At 40.9% G+C, this 21,773-nt stretch overlaps 2 long non-coding RNA genes and 1 pseudogene across 2 annotated transcripts in view; 2 read left to right on the top strand and 1 right to left on the bottom strand.

Annotated features, from left to right (window-relative positions):
• LINC00278 (long intergenic non-protein coding RNA 278) overlaps positions 1 to 10,365 on the bottom strand; it is a 99,277-nt gene extending 88,912 nt beyond the window's left edge. Inside the window, exon 1 of the long non-coding RNA NR_046502.1 lies at positions 10,144 to 10,365. This is a non-coding gene — a long non-coding RNA (long intergenic non-protein coding RNA 278). The remainder of the gene's footprint in view (positions 1 to 10,143) is intronic.
• A 369-nt stretch (positions 10,366 to 10,734) lies between these two features.
• ZFY-AS1 (ZFY antisense RNA 1) overlaps positions 10,735 to 21,773 on the top strand; it is a 35,808-nt gene continuing 24,769 nt past the window's right edge. The window contains exon 1 of the long non-coding RNA NR_144458.1: positions 10,735 to 11,048. This is a non-coding gene — a long non-coding RNA (ZFY antisense RNA 1). The remainder of the gene's footprint in view (positions 11,049 to 21,773) is intronic.
• On the top strand, positions 18,086 to 18,459 carry EEF1A1P41 (eukaryotic translation elongation factor 1 alpha 1 pseudogene 41; annotated as a pseudogene).

Genomic DNA, 21,773 nt, shown 5'->3' with positions numbered 1-21,773 from the left:
AAAGTCTCTTGTGGGAAAAATCCACATTCTATAGAGAATCCACTTTCACCTTTTTTCTTCTTCCTTCCTTTCCAGATCCAGGAGAGAATCAACTAAGAGCCAGGCATTCTTTTAAATCTGATAACAAACACTTTACAACCTGCTGTCTCTGAAGTCTGCTATCTGAGAGCTTCCTCTGTACACTAAAACCTGGTCTCCACAATCCTTTATTTTAACCTGAGCATTCCTTTCTACCAGGTCTTTAGACAAACATAACCAATTGTCAACCAGAAAACGTTTAAATTTACCTATAACCCCCCTGCTCTCAGTTGTCCTGCCTTTCTTAACTAAACCAATGCATTTCTTAAATGTATTTGATTGATATCTCATGCCTCTTCTAAATATATAAAACCAGACTGTACCCTGCTCACCTTGGGCACATGTTCTCAGAACCTCTTGAGGGCTGTGTGACAGGTTATGGTCACTCACATTTCGCTCAAAATAAATGTCTTGAAATATTTTACACAGTTTAACTCTTTTCATCAACAATAATTTGGTGCTTAAATACAGGAGCCCCAGAGAAGACTCAGGGCCCAGAAGGAGTTATCTGAACTTGGAGCTAAGGTACTAGCGGGGCCCACTGAAAACTACCTGATTTCCAGTTGTCCTTTGGTGGAACTGTTAAGTCTCCTGAGTCCCACCTCCCTTTAGTTGATGGTGCTTGATTTATTCTGAGCTGATTTTCTGCTAGGAAGTTGTTGTCTAAGGATCCTAATTCCAGTTCAGAGATGCATTCTAAAGGGAATTCTCTATTGCTTTTTCTCCTAAAATTTATCTTGATTTGGTTTTTCTGTGTGCATTTGTGTGACGAACTGAACTGCTGTTTTCATAGATAAATGAGAGACTGAGTTTTTTATCTGACAAGAAAAGGCATTTGCTCCTCCCACCGAAAGGCACTCCTGGGTGACCGGGTGACTTGTGGGAGTGTCTGGTATTTTGTTGCAGCCATAAAATACTAAACTAATAAATATCCTTGACTTAAGGATTTTATATCAGGAAACTAACATGAAGATTTTTAAAAACACTGTTAAGGTGATAGGAAAACGTCTAGTAAAAACTTAACAATATAACAAATCCAGATATGTAGAGGAAGAAACTAGAGGAAATGTTCTGAAATTTTCATATTAGTTTGTATTCCTTTGGTGGGAACCAACATTAGGCCAACCACACTGTAAACAAATCTAGATTTCTGTCTTTGTTTTCCGCATATCTCCTACATGATGTCCATACCCAGGACCAGCTACTTAATTTTTGGGGCCCATGACAAAATGAGAATTCAAGAATCCTCATTCAAAAAATATTAAGAATTGCAAATCATAAAGAATCATAAAATTCTATATCGCTATTTTCAAGCCTTGAAGAATTGACTGAATCTTAGCTTTGAGCATCAAATAGTTGCCACAATCACAAGCAAGATGGCTAGGTATATAATGTGCCTCCATAAAAAAGCATGTTACCACTTAAGATATAGTGTTTGCCATGATGTCAAATCTGAATCTGATCAAAGCCTTCAGATTATATTATAGCTGTTGGGAAATACCAATACCAGAGAAACAAGTTCAACATCACATTGGGGATAAAATCGGTAGAATCCAGACTGTGGAAAGTATACCCATCAAGTTATTTTGTTTCTTCAACATATAAACTCCAGCTAGGAGGAAGGAGCAGGAGAGAGGTGAGGAAGAAACAAGATGAAGGAGCAACTTAAGAAATATAACATACATAGTGCCAGTCATATTTGGATCCACGTTCATACAAACAAACTGAAAAAATACTGTAATACTTATAAGACAATTTTATTTTCCTAATCAATAATGACACTGAACATCTAAAACATTTACTATGACAAATCAAAGTACAGCTATGTATGTAAGCATGCTACCATTTATGACACTGGAAGTTGTTGTTTTAGTCATTATATAATAATTATTTTGCATTAAAGTCTTTCATTAAAAATATTTTGGCAGTGGCTGCCCAATATATTTTTACTGTATATTTTCTATCTTTTTACTTTCTGCTTTTTTGTATCATTAATTTATGTATTTTTCTTGCCAATATTGAATAGCTAGAATTTTATCTAATTTTATAATTTTTGGCCTTTAATAGGTAGTCTACTTATATTCATTGCAATTATTAAAATATTTGGCTAAAATAATTAAAATATGTTATATATTTTATTTCATATTTTCTTTTCATCAGGCTATTTCTTTACTTCCTTTATGACAGCTTTACTAACAGCTATTTAATTTGTTTTGAAAGTTCATTTATTTTGTTTTGGGTTTTTTTGGTACCATATTTCCCTTCTACTTGTTTGAACATTTTGCATTTTCTCTCTATTCCTGTGGTGATTACCCTTAATACTTTAACACCTATATGTAATTTAAACACAAAAAAGCAATCAAACCTTTTTCATTATAATACTTTAGCACTGTTTTAGTCTTGTAATCTCTGCAGTGAAGGATAGTGGTTGCCTACCCACTACATACTTATCCCTTGTACCAAAGATACTTTAAATTTGTTGAAGTACCAACACCTTCACTGCATATCATGTGTGTATATTTTGTTTTGCTTTGCTTTTCTGAAGGAAAAGCTAACTCCATCTCTTGTTATGGGAGTCAACCTAGTTATGCATAATGTCATTAACTTGTTGGGGTTGGTAATGGTTAGTTATGTTAACAGTATTTCCAGGAAAAGCTGTGTGATCCAACACTAGCCATTGATACACGATAAGCAGCCTTACAGAAGGACTGTGAGAAAAAGTTTCTTCTTCTTTAAGAGAAAGCCATAGGAAAATGTTATTTATCTTTTTTCTCCCAATTGCCAAATTTGGATGAGACATGTGGAACTGCTATAAATGTATTGTTCCCAATATGTTGATTCAACAAACATCAAATATGCAACTAACCTTGAAGATAACTACATCTGGAGTTCCTATTAAAAGTTTTCTTATTGTTTGGTCTGTTGAGCCATGTCTTCCATTTTGAGTGTGTGAGTGTGCTTTTATTTTTCATATGTGTATAGACTCAGGGTATTACTATTATATGTTGCCCAGGCTGGTTTCAAGCTCCTGTCCTCAAGCAATCCTCTTGCATTGGCCTCCCAAAGCAGATTATAGATATGAGGCACCACACCCAGCCAAGTTATGATCCGTAATACTTGCAGCCAAGAGCATTCTGACTTATAATGATGGTGGCAACCTGTTTGGAGCAGCCACTGTGGGGACGCTGCAGCAGGGGAGGCGTGGCCAGGGCTGCATGTTCAGGAGCCGTCAGGAGCTGGGAACAGGCAGGAGCCCTGTCCCCTTCCAAGTTGGTGGGGCAGGAGTCCCATGCTTAGCTGCAGCTGCCCAGCAGTGGCTGCAGACTTGGTATCCCTGTGCTTTTTGAAGCCCAGGAAGCCCCCTTGCCTCTGCAGGCTTGAAAGAGCTTGGTGCCACTGCCTGGCCTTTCTCAACTCCTGGTTGCTCCGAGTGTGGAGCAACATTGTGGCCAAGCCCAGGTGCTATCACAACCCAGCCAGGAGGTTGCACGTGCTCAGGGTGGTGCTGACACACCAGCCCCCTGCCGCCTCATCCCCCTCCAGACTTTGGGCGCCCATGACCACAGGAGTGGAGCTGAGGGGGTGCTGAGGGTCATTTGGCACAGGCCTGCCAGCACTGCTTGGCATGAACAGCCTGGGCACTATGGATGCCAAGTTGATGGCAACAATAGGCAGATGGCTCCTGGGCATAAAGGGTTGGTTCCCTGGAGAGGCCCTGCTTCAAGCCATCCTGAAGGCTGTCAGTTCCAGGTGAAGTCCTTGGCCCTGAGTGAAAACTTATGGTGCTTTTTCCAGGCCTGCACATGGCTGCCCTTGGACGAGTCAGCACACACTTCCTGCCTTCTGAAGTCCATAAAAACCTCAGACAGCCAGACTTACACAGACTGTGGGACTACCAGCTGTGGGAAGCAGTGACCCAATTCAGGTCTCCTTGACTTGTCAGGACAACCTGCTTGCAGAAAGGAGCTACCCACTGCAGGTCTCCTTTCTGCTGAAAGGTGGACACTCATTGGGACAACCAGCCTGCAGAAAGGAGCTACCCACTGCAGGTCTCCTGAGAGCTGTTCTGTTGCTCAATGAACCCCCTCTTTGCCTTGCTCACGCTCCAGTTTTCCACATACGTCATTCTTCCTGGATGCAGGACCAGAGCTCAGGACCACAGAATGGTGGGACTGAAAGAGCTGTAACACAAACAAGGCTGAAACATACCCTCCACTTGACACCTTGTGAGTGACAAGAAGAAGAAAAGAGTTGTTGACTTTCAGGGAGCCCAAACCTAGGGCCTCCCCAAGCCAGGGTTGTGACACCTTTGAGGCTCTATGGTTCCTAGCATTTCCAAGCTTCTGGGCACAACTGCATTACCCGGTACCCATAGTGGAAGCCACTTGCAGTATGCCTGGTCCAGCTGCAGCCTCACACAGAGCTAGCACCTATGTTAGCACTTGGAGTTGCCCACCTCACCACAGCTGGCATGCCTGGCAGTGCACAGTGGCCAGACCTCACTTGCAGACCTCTCATTGCTGCACATCTGGCTTGCCCTTGGCAGACATGGAATCCAGGCTGGTTGCTTCACCAAGTGAGTGGAACAAGCTCACTTGGGCCCAGCAGGCCCAAGAAAAACCCAAGCAGATGCGTCACCAGTCACAGAGGTTTCTGGTTGGTAAAGTGACACCCTAAGAATCCTGTAGCAATAACAATGCCAATTCTCCTGTATATTGTTATTGTGTAGTATTTTGGTTCCATCATGCTTTTACTCAGTGCCCCCTCCCTGCTCTCATTACCCACTGTTATAGTTGTTTTGAGACATATAAACAAATCAGTAAACCATTAGTCAATACATTTATAGAACACTGGCAAATAATGGACCAGGTAAAGTATGCAAAGAAAATCTCAACAAACACAAAAACATTAATATTTAACACAGCACATTTATGAAGGGAAACATGAGCAGCAGTTCAAGAGAAGCAATGTACAAACCATAAAACTATTCACTGTGCTCAATGCCTTTACTGTGCTCCTCATCATCAATTCTCCTCCTATCTTTACCTTGCTGTGTGCCTGAGAAAGTGACCTCTATGGACTGTGTAAGGTGCTCCCATTCCCTTTGGTTTCCAGGTGGAGTCAGCCAATGGGCAGTTTAGAAGGTGATAAAAGGCAGGTGGTATTTATTGCCTTGGCTCCTCTCTTGTGAAGGGAGTAAGCTCCTGTCAGTACAGTTTTCTTCCTTGGCTATGCTTATCCTGAGAAGTCAGGAACTGTGGAGGACAAGAGATTTTGCCTTCCTGACAACAGATAAGGTGATTATATTCATATCCTGACCAAAGAGACTAGAGACCTGGTCAAAGACAAAGATTGTTTACTGTTTACAGCAAAAAGCAGCAGCCTGAGCAATCTCTTAAGTTCATACAAAATACCTCCATTCACACATATCATGCTGAGGCCCAAGTATTCACCTAGCTTGTGGTGGGTTGCATTACAGGAGAGAAACCCTCAGTTAGGGGACTGGTTTTTTTTATCAAGGCTACTAATGATCTTCCCATCCTCCCCTCCAGAGGGAGAACTTTTTCAATGAAATGCTAGCAAAACTCCTTAAGTGTTGAGGGGAAAGGGTCTCCAGGTTGGTAACACTGGAAAGTAAGCCAATGTCTCCTGTGACAGAAAGGGGAAGGCTTTAGGATATTGGCATGCTTCTAAGGGGAGAATGGCATTTCCTATCTTTCATCTCTAGCTGTCAAGGTGGATTGTTTGTGGACCATGTGGGAATGCTGAGAAATGAAGCAAAAAAGCCTCCCAACACTTTCACCGTAGTCTGAACTGATGAGTACTCCCCAATGTTCCTAACATTGGATGTTGCATTATATCTCATTAGTTTCCCACAAATCTGCTCATTTTTGTAAATAGTCCATTTATTAAATTCTTAAATTACCCAGTTTTTCTATGTCACATGGTTGCAGGTAGAGACCATATCTTAGTCAAGGGGATATATTGAATACATTTCTAAATAACAAAAAACAACTCTATTTGATTTAGCAGAGGGGCTGTAACAAAATATAAGCTTTTGGAAGGATGAGGGAATGAAGACTGGAAGTGAAGTAACCAGGAACAATGTCCAGAATAATTGTAGAGAGTTAGTTTAGTGGTCCCTGCTCTCATTACAGACACACGATGTTACAAACACTGACACTGAGTTCTGATGCTGACTCTAGAACTTTTGGGCACACTGTTCCCTCTAACTCTGATAGGCCTCTGCTGGCTGTCTCCATCCTCACCAGCACAACTTTCTCGAAATTCCAGACTCTGTATCCCTATTTCCAATTCAGCCTCCAGTACAAGCACTGATTGGCAGAGCCTGGTTAGATACCACCACTCCAATTGTAAGGGAACCTAGTATGCTGAGGTTCTACAAAGAAAGGTGATACACTCTGCCATATAACTTGAGGAATTCCTGAAATATAGGGAATTTTAGATTCTGAGCAGCCAAACTAAGTGACCAATGGCCACCACCTGCCCATCCCAATAAGTGGCCAATTAGAGAAAAGTCATGATCCAGAGGGAAATAGGGATCAATGGGATATCTTATATCAGGCCAAGGAGATGTAGAAATTTTCATAAAAACTTTCATTAATTCCTAGCATATTGCAACAGATACTTGGATAAGATGGTGCAAGCTGGCTAGGAAAGCCAGCTCTTCCTGGTTTGCCTGGGATTTTTTAAGTTTTTTAACAGTTGGATACTCTGACAATAAAGGTTTATAGTTGGATACCCTGACAATAAAGGTTTATAATTAGGACATGCCTTCAGTCAACAGCATTATGTTGCCTTGATTGTCAGTGTTGTGGGAATCAGGACACTGTTGTGGGAATCAGGACACTGGAGAGACCAGTGAGGGGAACAGGACGATTGTATTTAGGTGGCCACCAGCTCAGCAGATTAATACCCAGAGGCTGAGCAATGAACAAAGAAAGGGCTTGACTTTTATTCATGAGACCAAAGGGTGTTGGCCTGTGGTGCAAAACTTGTGGGGTGGGGAAAGCAAGCTTACAGAAGCAGAACAAACGCAGTTAATCAAACTGTGACAGGTCTTGTAACTCAGGCATGTCTTGTGACCTTTGCCATCCTGCACAGATGGGAAAAACAGGACCTTACAAAATCCTTGCAAACTTGCAGAAGTAGTTACAAAAATAGTTATACAAGCAGAACAAAGAATGATGGCATGGGGAGAGAATTTCAGGGAGAGATTGAAAAGAACTTGTTTTTCTTCTCCCTGATCTTGTTAGTCCTATGGCTGTTCTTTCCCATACCCAGCCATGGACTTCTTGCATGGCTTTCCCTAAGGCCTGCATTTGCCTTCTTAAGGACAATTCTCCTAGCTCACAGAGATCACCCTTAATTTGACCTATGATTGGGAGTGGCCGGCCGAACAAGATCTCATAGGGCGAATACCCAGTTTGGTGCAAGTGCACCTGATTCAGAGGAGGACCATGGGCAGGATCTGATCCCATCTTAGATGTGTTTCTTGGCAATATTTCTTTAATAGCTGCTGGAGTGTCCAGTTCATGTGCTCCACTTTTCCTTAGCTTTGCAGCCAGTAAGCTATGTGTAGCTTCCACTTCCTGAATCCTCAGGGGCTTGGTTTGCAACAGGTAGGTCCTGCACCAGTCTATATTCATTAGTCCCCAGTTTCTGCACTGGCAAAAGGAGAGTGTTCTACAGTGACTGTCATCGGGCCAAGATCCTGTGTTCTAATTGCCACTTCAAATGCCCTTGAATGCCATGTATTGCTTCTCAGGGAAGTGGGTAATAACGAAACCGAACCAGTGTTTCTCCTGATTTTAGTTCTACTATCTTTTGTATCTGGTTCACAGCGAGGGTAGGGGCATTATCTTCAGCCCACACTCTACGAATTTTACTAGGCACCCATACAGCTCATCTAGCCCCAGCTTTGACAACCCTTCTGCATACAGCCTCCATTCTTCCACCTGTGGGACATCAAGAGTTAACACCATATATTCAGGATGGTGGCAGGCTTAAAGTTATGGCCCCTTAGGCCCCTACTTCCACCTCTCCCTCATCACCCTCTGGACATTCATTCTTCCAGTGTCCTTTCTTCTTGCACCCCACACACTGGTCCCTATCTAGTGCTGCCTGATCCTCGGGTCTTTGCCTGATTTGACCTCTTCCTTGTCCGCACCTACATCCACTTCGTCTTGGGACATTCGCCCCCCTTTCCATAAGTGCTGCCACCAGCAAATTGGCCTTTTCCCTGAGTCTCCTCCTCACAGTTAGTGTACACCTTGGTGGCCACTTCTAAAACCTGAGTGACATTCATGCCAGTGAAACACTCTAGCTTTTGCAGCTTTCGCCTGATGTCTCCCTGGGTTTGCCCTACAAACACTGCGTTTACCATGCACTGGTTCTCAGTAGCCTCAGGGTCAAATGGACTGCAAAGCTGGAAGGCCTCATAGAGTCTCTCATAAAACTGGCTACAGCTTTCATCTGCTCTCTGAAGCACCTCTGAAATGTTTCCCATATTGAATGCCTTTTTCTCTCCTTTTCTCAAAACTTGCAGGAGTGCCTCTTGGTACCTCTGCAGTTGCTGTAGTTGGGCTTCCTTGTTTGGGTCCCAGTGCGGGTCTGCTTCTGGGAACTGGCCCTGTGCATATGCCAGGACATTAAGGGTGCCTTCCAGTGCATTGTTTTCTAGCCACTGGTGGGCTACCTAGGTCACCCTTCAGCATTCCTTGGTGTTGAACAGCATCAGGAAAAGCTGTTTGCAGTCTGGCCAAGTTGGATTGTGTGTCTCAAAAATAGACTGCATCAGATTTTGTGAGAGCTTGGGGCTTCTCCATGTAGGAGGGAGTATGGTGTTTCCAGTTTAGGAGATCAATAGTTGAAAAAGGGTGATAAATGAAAGTTGGTTGCCCACCCTTGGACCTGGCCCTGTTCATCATAATACATGGGTCCCCAAGTTTCTCAGAGAGGCATCTGCAAAGCTCTTGCAGCCAGATTAAAGGCGGCCTGCTTGATCATTTTGACCTTCCTCCTTGACCTCCTGGGGCAAGGGCTCAGATTTCACACTTTGGGGTTAGCCTGAGGTGTATCATCATCTGAGTCTGGCTGCTATTGGGCCAGGCTTGGTAAAGGTGGATAGATTGGTGCATAGGGGAGAGGGGTTTCTATTTCCGCTGGTGGTTCCTGCAAAACTGGTTTTTCTTGTGGTTTTTCCTTTCTGTTTGTAGCTGACAGTAAAGCTGAATTCTCTTTCACTTTTGGCTCAGCTCGAGCTACCAGTGTTCTGCAATAAGCTGCCAGGCAGGGCTCTAGCCATACAGGTCGAGTTTGAATTATATTCAGCCGTGAGTCAATATAAGGAAATTGGCCTGGAAGTCCAGGCTGTCCTCCGACCTCAGTCACCACCTTAAATACACAGCCAATTATTTCCCCATCTATAGTTCCTTCGGCCGGCCATCCAATACTGAAAGAGGACCACTCTATTTCACAGACAGTTCTCAACCTCTGGGGGTCAACTTGATCCCATAATCCCCCACATAATCTTTCTTAAAGTTGTTTAACATGCATTCTAATGGGGTGGGTTTCAACAACTTCCCTCCCATTTCCTCCCATTTACAGCACAATTCACTCACTGTTTTACTTTCACTTCAGACCGATTAGACTGTCTCCCTCACAGGAGTATTTCAGACACTGCTAAGCTTTAAAGGAGGGTTTGAGTCCCAAACCCAGACCACCACAATCACTAAACTGTGGGGCACCTCCCTAGCATACAGTCTATGCTAAGAGACCTGTGGCTCCACACACACCATTCCCCACGTTGGTTCCTTTTGGAATCGTCTGTTTCACACACATTCACACACCTCCCCACTCCCGGTTTCGTTTCTTAACTGACTTAGCAAGCCACTTTTGTGTCCTGGGTTGGTTGGGGTGTAGGTTTCTTCCAAATTTGCGAGCCACTCTTGCATCCTGGGTCATATTACTAGGTATACCCTGGGAGGTGATGAGGCTCCCCTTCTGTCATGGGACAGGTCTTGCCTCGGGCCCAAACCTTACCGAGGTCCTGTAGCACACTGTTCCTTGAATCATCCTGTAGCCCCTTAGGTTCTGTTGTGCTGTCAGAGAGCGGCACCAGGTTGCGGGAGAGCTGATCTCCCCTCGGGTTGAAGTTGTCCTGATAGCATGCCTGGAGTCACGGGTCTCCCCCAGGCTGGGGCCCCAGACCCACAGGCAAAGGAGACAGCAAACCTGTCGTCTTCACTCCTGGCTGGCTCACCAAAATGTGGCTGGAATCAGGAGACCGGAGAGACCAATGAGGGGAACAGGACGATTGTATTTAGGTGGCCACCAGCTCAGCAGATTAATACCCAGAGGCTGAGCAATGAGCAAAGAAAGGGCTTGACTTTTATTCATGTGACCAAAGGGTGTTGGCCTGTGGTGCAAAACTTGTGGGGTGGGGAAAGCAAGCTTACAGAAGCAGAACAAACGCAGTTAAACTGTGACAGGTCTTGTAACTCAGGCATGTCTTGTGACCTTTGCCATCCTGCACAGATGGGAAAAACAGGACCTTACAAAATCCTTGCAAACTTGCAGAAATAGTTACAAAAATAGTTATACAAGCAGAACAAAGAATGATGGCATGGGTAGAGAATTTCAGGAAGACACTGATAAGAACTTGTTTCTCTTGTCCCTGTTTTTGGAACCCATTTCTTCAGGGCCCCTACCTGGCCTTGCAGGTAATGTTATCACAGCTGTAGCTGGACTTTGGAGTGAGTCAGCCTGGTCAGGGAAGGACTTGTTTTTCTTTTTACTTGTTTTTCTTATATTTCCTGCTTCATGAGCAAGAAACAACAAGCTTTACCTTCACAGTAGAAGAGTCCAGCAGAACAAAGTTGGAAGCAGAGGGAGTGAATCTAAACCTATGGACAGATTCATCTTGGAAACCCTAAGTGAGGCTAAAGGTGAGTGTCTAGCTGATACCAGAAAGTCATTATGACTAATTCTAACTGTTGGAGTGCAAAAGTCAGTCTCAAAGCTAACAGCCAGTACTAGGAAACAGAAACAAAGTAACAAGAAACTCTTATAGCAGCAGAGTCCTCCTAAATAATTCCATTGCCTGGTATTTTTCATCATTAATCTACTTAGAAAGAAAATTGGGCCTTTTTAAATTATTATTATGATGAACTGCTCATAACATAAAATTTTCCACGATAATCATTTTTAAGTGTACAATTCAGTACTTTTAAATGCCTTCACATTGTTGATGTAACCTGTTTCTAGAACTTTATCTTGTAAAACAGAAATGCTATACCTATTAAAACAACTTCTCCCTATTTTCCCCTCCCCACAGTCCTGTCAACCATCATCTACATACTGTCTCCCTGAATTTGACTATTCCAGGGACTTCATATAGACAGAATCATGCTGTATTTGTTCTTTTATGTCTGGCTTATTTTACTTAACACTGTTTTTACTGTAAGTCCAGTTGTAGCATATGTCAGAATTGTATTCTATTTTAAGGCTGAATAACATTCCATTTTAAGTATATTTCATATTTTGTTTATCCGTTCATCTCTTAATGGAAATGTGAATTGTTTCCACCTTTTGCAGTTGTGCATACTCTTGCCATAAATATTTATGTCCAAATATCTGTGAGCCAGGCTTTCAATTATTTGGGGTATATATGTAATCTTGGAATTGCTGAATCATTTTCCACATCAGCTGCACCATTTTGTACTTTCACTAGCAATTCATAATATCCATTTTCTCCACATTTTTCCCAACACTTATTTGCTCTTAAAAGTAAGTATTAATTTGTATGAAATGGTATCTCGTTGTAGCTTTAATCTGCATTTCCCTAATGGACAATGATGTTGAGAATCTTTTCATGTGCTTATTGATGATTTGTATATCTTCTTTGGTGAGAAATGTCCATTCAAACCCTTAGCCTATTTTTAATTGGTTTTTCTTGTTGAGTTGTAGGAGTTATTTATATATTCTGGATATTAGTTTCTTATCAGATATATGATTGACAGATATTTTCCCTATTTGTGGATTGCCTTTTCACTCTGTTGGTAGTGTTTTTAGGTATTCAGAAGTTTCTAATTTTGTCCAGCTTACATATTTTTTATTTTGCTGGGTGTAGTGGCTTAAACCTGTAATCCCAGCACTTCGGGAGGTCAAGGTGGGCAGATGACCTGAGGTCGGGAGCTTGAGACTGGAGTCACCAACATGGAGAAACTCTGTCTTTACTAAAAAACAAAATTAGCTGGTCGTGGTGGCACATGCCTATAATCCCAGCTAATCCCAGATTCTCTCGAGGGAGGAGAATTGCTTGAACCCAGGAGGCAGAGGTTGCAGTGAGCCAAGATTGTGCTATTGCACGCCAGCCTGGGCAACAACAGCAAAACTCCATTTCAAAAAAAAGATATTCTGAAGTATTTTATTCTTTTGGATTCTATTTTAAATAGGATTATTTTCTTAATTTCCTTTTCAGATTATTCAGTGCCAATATATGAAAATATGACTTATTTGTATGTACTGAATGTCTAACAGTTTGTGTATTTTTTTGTGTAATCTTTATGTTTTCAACATAAAGGTTTACGTCATTAGCAAATTAAGATGATTTCATTAATCTTTTACAATTTAGATGCCTGTTATTTTTTCCTTGCCAATTGACCTGCCTTAAATTTCCAGTACGCTGTTAAATAGCAGCAATTTAGATAGGCACCTCTGGCACAGTGGCTCACACTGTAATCCCAGCACTTTCGGAGGCCAAGGCAGACGGATCACTTGAAGCCAGGAGTTCAAATTCAACTTTTCCTTTTTTGCAGAATTTCTGTGTACTATTTACCAATGATCTAAAACGCAACATATTGTAGTGTAAACCTAAAAAAACAAACACAGAGACTCTTTAAAAGAAAAGGTGTTTATTTGGAAAAGGAAAATTGCAAGCAATGCACAAGCTATAGTAAACTAGGTGCACATTCAGAGCAGTAAAGGAAGACAAAGGAGCTTTAAAGTAGTAAATGAGGAGGATTACATAACTGTTATGAAATAACTATCCCTGGCTACAAAGATCAGTAACACAGGTGTGTGGGTAAGTCAGAAAGAAAAGTAACAAACATAATGCTAGTCTGAGGTTGAATAGGCAGTTGTTGGCAGATGTCTTGTGGAAATTTTTTTGTGGAAATTTTTTTTGTAAGTTTGTGATATGGTTCCGATCTGTGTTCCCACCCAAATCTCACACTGAATTGAAATCTTCAGTATTGAAGCAAGGGCCCTTTTTGGGGGTGATTGGATCATGGGGGCAGTTGCTCACAATCCCCCTTTGGTGCTGTCATTCTGATAGTGAGCTCTCCTGTGATATGGTTGTTTAAAAGTGTGTGCCACTTTCCCCTCTCTCTCTGGATCCTGCTCCAGCCATGTGAGACACTTGTATCTGCTTTGCCTTCTGCCATGAGTTAAAGCTCCCTGAGGCCTCCCCAGAAGCACATGTTTCCATGCTTCCTGTGCAGCCTGGAGAACTGTGAACCAATTAAACCTCTGTTCTTTATAAATTACCCAGTCTCAGACATTTCTTTATAGCAATATGAGAACAGACTAATAGTGATACTAACAATCACTTGGTCCAATAACCTTTAAATCCTGGTATCCAGAATTCTGCATAGTAGTTTAAACGGGCTTGAAATTAGTTTAAATAAGACCACTTAAATGGACTAATAGTTTGTGATGGACATTGTGCAAGGTTGTAGAGTTTTGTAGAGTCTTCTTTGCTATCAGGCATACAAGTACCTATATTCCTGGCCTTTCCTGGCTCCATTTGTTAGGAATTTTTTTTTAACATTAGGGACTCCATTTTTAATCTGACAGCTTTCACGGTATACATGTGTAATATTGTCGACGTAAAGTAATTTGCTTCTAAGTGTCAGATAAAAATAATCGGTGAGAAGGTCCAAAGTTGGGGGAAATAAAGAATGTGGCTTTACTACAATATCAACCACTATGTGACTTTAACTGGCAGCCTCAATTCTCATATTTATAAAACAACATACTGAAGAGTATTCATGTTTATACCTTTTTCCCACATTATACATTTTCAAATGAATACTATCCACAAATCTAATATGCCAAAGTGATCAAAAGCCTGCTGCTAACTAAAAAAAAGAGTATGAAAAAAATAATGAACCAAGAAAAAAAAGGCAGCTGATATGGCTAGGTGTGCACATGTAGGATTATTTTCTCCCATCATGCTATAACTATCCACGACCACCTTACGGTTTCATTGTACTGAACCCTGTTTAAACTACCTCTGCAGAATCCTGTGTGCCAGTGAGAGGTAACAGCGCGCTGGCAGTCCTCAGAGCCCTCACTTGCTCTCGGCACCTCCCCTGCCTGGGCTCCCACTTTGGTGGCATTTGAGGAGCCCTTCAGTCCCCCCACTGCACTGTGGGAGCCCCTTTCTGGGCTGGCCAAGGCCAGAGCCCACTCCCTCAGCTTGCAGGGAGGTGTGGAGGGAGAGGCGCGAGTGGGAACCGGGGCTGCGTGCGGTGCTTGCGTGCCAGCTGGAGTTCCGGGTGGGCATGGACTTTGTGGGCCCCGCACTCGGAGCAGCCAGCCAGCCCTGCTGGCCCCGGGCAGTGGGGAACTTAGCACCCGGGCCAGTGGCTGCGGAGGGTGTACTGGGTCCCCCAGCAGTGCCAGCCCACCGGCGCTGCGCTCGATTTCTCACCGGGCCTTAGCTGCCTTCCCGCGGGGCAGGGCTCGGGACCTGCAGCCCGCCATGCCTGAGCCTCCCACCCACTCCATGAGCTCCTGTGCGGCCAGAGCCTCCCGGACGAGCACCACCCCCTGCTCCACGGCACCCAGTCCCATCGACCACCCAAGGGCTGAGCAATGCGAGCGCACGGCACGGGACTGGCAGGCAGCTCCACCTGCAGCCCCGGTGCGGGATCCACTAGGTGAAGCCAGCTGGGCTCCTGAGTCTGGTGGAGACGTGGAGAGTCTTTATATCTAGCTCAGGGATTGTAAATACACCAATCAGGACCCTGTGTTTAGCTCAAGGTTTGTGAGTGCACCAATCGACACTCTGTATCTAGCTGCTCTGGTGAGGACGTTGAGAACCTTTATATCTAGCTCAAGGATTGTAAATACACCAATCGGCACTCTGTATCTAGCTCAAGGTTTGTAAACACACCAATCAGCACCCTGTGTTTAGCTCAAGGTTTGTGAGTGCACCAATCCACACTCTGTATCTAGCGGCTCTGGTGGGGCCTTGGAGAACCTTTATATCTAGCTCAGGGATTATAAATACACCAATCAGCACTCTGTTTCTAGCTCAAGGATTGTAAACGCACCAATCAGCACCCTGACAAAACAGGCCACTCGGCTCTACCAATCAGCAGGATGCGGGTGGGGCCAGATAAGAGAATAAAAGCAGGCTGCCCGAGCCAGCATTGGCGAGCCAGCATTGGCAACCTGGTAGGGTCCCTCTCCACTGTGTGGAAGCTTTGTTTTTTCGTTCTTTGCAATAAAGCTTGCTACTGCTCACTCTTCGGGTCCACACTGCATTTATGAGCTGTAACACTCACCGCGAAGATCTGCAGCTTCACTCCTGAGCCCAGCGAGACCAAGAGCCCACCGGGAGGAAGGAACAACTCCAGAGGCGCTACCTTAAGAGCTGTAACACTCACCGCGGAGGTCTGCAGCTTCACTCCTGAGCCAGCGAGACCACAAACCCACCAGAAAGAAGAAACTCCAAACACATCTGAACATCAGAAGGGACAGACTCCAGATGCGCCACCTTAAGAGCTATAACACTGAGGGTCCGCGGCTTCATTCTTGAAGTCAGTGAGACCAGGAACCCACCAATTCCGGACACACCAGGATTTAAACATTACTGGACCTAAAACTACTTCATAGAAATAATTCCAACTTTCTAGTCCAATTGAGGAAAGTTTTCACTCACTGAATAATTAAAGAAAAATTAAATTCTTTGTAGTATTTGTAAGTGTGGGAAACAATTTAACATTTTACTAATTTCTAAGTTTACAGTTCACTAGTGTTAACTGTATTCACACTGTTCTGCAGTAGATCTATAAAGCTTTTCTTGACAAGTTATAAATGTATATTAATGGAGTACAAAATGACGTTCTCATACATGTGTATGTTGTAGAAAAATTAAGCTTATTAACATATCCATTACCTCACACACTTACTCTTTTTATGAGAACATTTAAAACCTACTTTTAGCAATTTTAAGGTATACATTATTATTAACTACAGTTATCATAGTATAAAATGTATTACTTATTTCTCTTATCTAAGTAATACTTTGTGCCCTTGACCAATGTCTGCCCATTGCCTATATGCTCCTACCCCAAGGCCATTATATTCTCTGCTTTGATAAGTTCAATTTTTAATATTTCCACATATAAGTGAATATATGCAGTATTTGTCTTTCTGTACCTACCTTATTTCTCTTAATATAATAGCTAGTAGGTTTATTTATGCTGTCACAAATGCCAGAAGTTCCTTTTGTTAAAGGCTTAATCGTATTTCCTTGTGTAGATACACCACATTTTCTGTATTCCTTTATTTGTTAATGGACATTTAAGTTGATTTTATATCTTGGCTATTATGAATAATGACTGCAGTGAACATGGAAGTGCAGATAACTCTTCCACATGCTGATTTCAATTTCCTTGGATAAATACCCAGAACTGGAATTGTTAGATCATGTGTAAGGAAGGATAACCTGCATCATAAAAGAAGGAAGATCTCAAATAAGAACCTACTGTTTTACCTCAAGAAATTAGAAAAGAACAATCTAAGCCAAAAGTTAGCAGAAGAGCAGAAAGATGAGAAAAGAAATAAAATAGGACTAGAAAAACATTTTAAAAGATTAACAAAACTGAGATTTAACTTAGTGAAAAATAAGCAAATTTGATAAATCTTTACACTAAGAAAAAAATGAAAGAAGACTAAAATAAATAAAACCAGAAATAAGAGGGGACATTACATCTTATATCACAAAGGTACAAAGATTATGAAACTATTACAAACCAAAAATTTTATACCAAACAATGAGGTAACATAGAAGAAATGAATAAATTCATAGAAATATAAAACCTATCAAAGGTGAACATGAAGAAATAAAAAATGAACAAACCAAATTATTAGTAAGGAAACTGAATCAGTAATAAACACTTTCCCATGATCAAGGTTGTGGTGAGCAGTGATCTCACCACTTCACTCCAATGTGGGTGACAGAGCAAGACCCTGTCTCAAAAAACAAGAAAGTCTTTCATCAAAGCAAATCCCAAGATTTGATGGCTTCTGGGTGAATTCTACCACATAATTTAAGAAAAACTAATGCCAATCCCTTGCCAACCCCGTCCAGAAAGTTAAAGGAGATGCAATACTTCCAAACTTATTTTCTAAGGCTAGAATTACCCTAAACCCAAGCCAAACAAGAATATCACAAGGAAAGAAAATATAGGCCAATATTCCTGATAAACATAGATGCAAACTGTCTCAAACAAATGCTAGCAGACTAAAAGACAGCATGTTAAAAGAACATTTGCCATGATCAATTGAGATTTATCCCTGGGATGCAAGAATGGTTTAATATATACACATGAATATATGCAATATATAACATTAACAGAATGAAGGACAAAACCATATGATCATCTCAATAGATGCAGACAGGCTTTGACAAAATTCCACATCTTTTTATAATAAAAATCTCAACAAATTAGGAATGTAACTCAACACAATAAAGGCCATATATATTACTAACTTGCAGCCACATTATACTCAGAAGCTTTTCCCCAAAGATCAGGAATGAGACAAGGACGTCTACTCTCACCACTCTTATTCACTACAGTACGGGAAGTGATAGCCAGAGCAATCAGGTAAAAATAAATAAATGTCATCTAAATTGGAAAGAAATAAGTGAAACTATCTCTATTCACTGATGATATGATCTTATATATATTGAAGTCTGGCGATGCTGCCATTCTTGATAGGGTTCCTGACAAGCCCCTGTGAATGTGGACTTATTCTAACTATCCTCTGGGTCATTTTGCTGTTCATGATATGAGACAGACAGTTGATGTGTATATCATCAAAGCAGTGGACAAGAGGGCTGCTGGAGCTGGCAAGGTCCTCAGTTCTTCCCAAAAGTCTCAGAAGGCTAAATGAATGTTATCCTTAATACCTGCTACCCCAGTTTTAATCAGTGGTGGAAGAATAGTCTCAGAACTGTTTGTTTCAATTGGCCATTTAAGTTTAATAATGAAAGAATCATTAATGAAAATAATGCATCATAAAACTTGAGAAGGAAAGTAGAGTGTATTATGGGTCACTGGTAGGGAGAGTGTTGTTTGTTCGTCACTGAATTTTTTTTTTTTTTTTTTGCATATGGCAGTTTTCAGTTACTGGGTTTAAAAACCAGTACTATTTAATTGAAACAACTTGAATAAAAATCTGTCACAGCATTTTGAGAACCATTAAAACAAAGTTTAATGAGAAAACACCAAAAAAAGAACCCAAAATATATTACAAACTATATTAATCAAAGCAGCATGACACAGCATATAAACAGACACACTGACCAAGGGAACAGAATAAAAACCTATGTATTTACCATAAGCTGACTTTCAGTTGACAGGAAAAAATAAATAAAAATAAAGAAAAACAGCTTTTGTGGTGGCTCACATCTGTAATCCCACCACTTTGCAAGGCAGAGGCAGGAGGATAGCTTGAGACCAGCCTGAGAAACATAGTGAGACCCCCATTTCTACAAAAAAATTCTTAAAAATAATAATAAATTAGCCAACATAAGCAGCTAGGCTGAGGTGAGAGGATCTCTTGAACCTGGGAGGTCAAGGCTACAGTGAGCTGTGATCACTCCACTGTACTCCAGCCTGTGACCTCAAACTTCAATAATTTACAAAGTATTTCAACCTCATAGGATACAAAAATGGTTTTAAAATCTGAGTAGGTATAGATGTCATACCTCCAGGCAACAGTGATAATACTTCACTGGTAGCAGAAATGCCAAGCTACTCAAAGAGCTGCAACATTTCCAGCTGGTAGTATATTGGGGATTAAGCAGCTTTTGTCTGTATGTATTTCTTGTGTATATCCATGCATGAATACATGAATCCCCAAACATATATATATGGACATACATACACAGAAACATATATATACATGTCATGTCATCTGTTGTCTACCAATATTCAAACACGTACCTTAAAATAAGGTAGAAATTTATTTAGAAATAAAAGCAGATATCAAAACAAAACAGGAATAATATATTAAACAAAATTTTATGAGCAAAAATATATGTATAATAAAACAAAATCCATGAGGCCAACTTAATTTTGACTACCTAATAGCTACTGAGTATGGAAAAACTGTATTTCTAACATGATTTACATTAACTACCCCTGGGGCAGTTAATTTTAAAAAACAAAATACTCATGCAGTTACTCACGCCACATCTTTTCCAGCCTTTTGAGTTTTGCTTGCTGACTCTGCTTCTGAATTTTATTTACCTTTGAAGAATTTAACTCATGGGAGACCATACAAGATTTATGAAATGCACATTATTTACATGTGCATTAAAAAGTATACTTATTGAATGAAAACTTGCCCTGTAAAAAGCTTACATAAAAGTATGAATATGAACTATACATAAATGTATAAATATGAACTATTTAGGCCCTGCTTTACCTGCACTGCTTTTTTTTTTTTTTTTTTTTTTTTTGAGATACAGTCTCACTTTGTGGCCAAGGCTGGAGTGCAGTGGCTCAATCTCCACTCACTGCAACCTCCACCTCCTGGTTTCAAGGGATTCTCCTGCCTCAGCCTCTGGAGTAGCTGGGACTACAGGTGCACATCACCATACCTGGCTACTTTTTTGTATTTTTAATAGAGACAGGGTTTCACTATGTTGGCCAGGCTGATCTCAAACTCCCGACCTCAGGTGATCTGCCCACCTTGGCCTCCCAAAGTGCTGGGATTACCGGCATGAGCCACCACATCCGACCTGTGAGTTTCTGGTTTGGTTTAGTTCTATAATTTTTCACATAAAACACAATACGTTGCATAATTATTTTGTAACTTCCTTCAAGCGCTCTTTAGCAAAGATTCACAAACTTGAGAGTGCATCAGAATAAAGTCCTTAACTTTAAGGACTTATTAAATCAGATCGCTGGGCTTATTGGTAGGAAAAATATTGGCAAATGAATTATGCCTGCCTAAAATCTCAAGTAACAGCAAAGAATGATGTCCATAAGATGGTATACTAGAACTCTCCAGGCCCTCATTCCACCACTGAGACACCAAGTTAAGAATAAACTGCAGACCAGAATATCTTTATGAGAGCTCTCAAGATCAGCTGAGAAACTACAGCACCCATGCCAAGTAAAATCAAGAAGAGTTATCAGATTATCAGTAATTTCTCAACAGAAACATTGCAGGCCAGAAGGCAGTGTGATGATACATTTAAAGTGCTGACATTTTAAAACTGCCAACCAAATAAACTGTACTGGCAAACTATCCTTCAAAAATGAGTAAAAAATAAAAGTTTCCCACATAATTCTTAAATAAAAAAAGAAAAAGTAAGGATAAATTTATGCTAATGAATAAACATAACCAAGTATGGAGGTTACAGCTAAAGAGGCACATATATGTGATTGAAGTTAAGTTATATCAATTTAAAATAGAATGTTATAAACTTTAAGATATTTAATTGCAATGATAATATTGTAAACATAATATATCCAGAATATACACAAAAGAAATTAGCAAGGAATCACTACCAAAAAAAAAAAAAAAAAACTAAACACAAAGGAAGGCACTAAGACGTAAGCAGGAACAAAAAAGCTAAACAGAAAATAATTAACAAAATGGCAATAGTAAGTCCTTCCCCTATTATAATCTAATTTAAATGTAAATAGATTGAAATCTAAAAATAACATTGGAGTGTCCATGTGCAGGGGCTCAGGCCTGTAATCCTAGCACTTTAGGAGGTTGAGGCTGATGGATCATTTGAGGCCAGGAGACTAGCCTGGCCAAAGTAGCAAAACCCAATCTCTACTAAAAATATAAAAATTAGCTGGGTGTGGTGGCACACAACTGTAATCCCAGCCCCTCAGGAGGCTGAGGCACAAGAATCACTTGAACCCAGGAGTAGGACATTACAGTGAGCTGAGATTGTGCCACTGCACTCAAGGTGGGGTGATAGAGCAAGACTCCATCTCAAAAAAAAAAAAAAGAAAGAGAGACTCTGTCTCAAAAAAAAAAAAAAAAGAAGAAGAAAGAAAATAACATTGTAACATTGGAGACTATTAATGACTGGCTATAAAACAACAAAAGAAAACACAATCCAACTATATGTCATCTATCTTAGATCTAATGACATACATACTGAAGGTGAAATGATGAAAAAAGATAATTCAGGCAATAGTAACCAAAAAGAGCAGGAATGACTACAATAACAGATAAAATAGACTTCATGCAAAAAACTATTCAAAGAGGCAAAAAATGTTATATAATAATAAAAGGGTCAATTCAACAAGAAAATATTTTAAAATTTCAAAATTGAATCAGTAATAAATAACCATCAACCAAAACAAAAGCCCAGGATAAGATGGATTCACAGCTGAATT

Source organism: Homo sapiens, chromosome Y (assembly GCF_000001405.40).
Source record: "Homo sapiens chromosome Y, GRCh38.p14 Primary Assembly".
In the NCBI taxonomy this organism is placed as follows: Eukaryota; Metazoa; Chordata; class Mammalia; order Primates; family Hominidae; genus Homo; species Homo sapiens.
The sequence above is the reverse complement of the archived record's forward strand: the minus strand, read 5'-3'. Positions and strand labels throughout refer to the sequence as shown.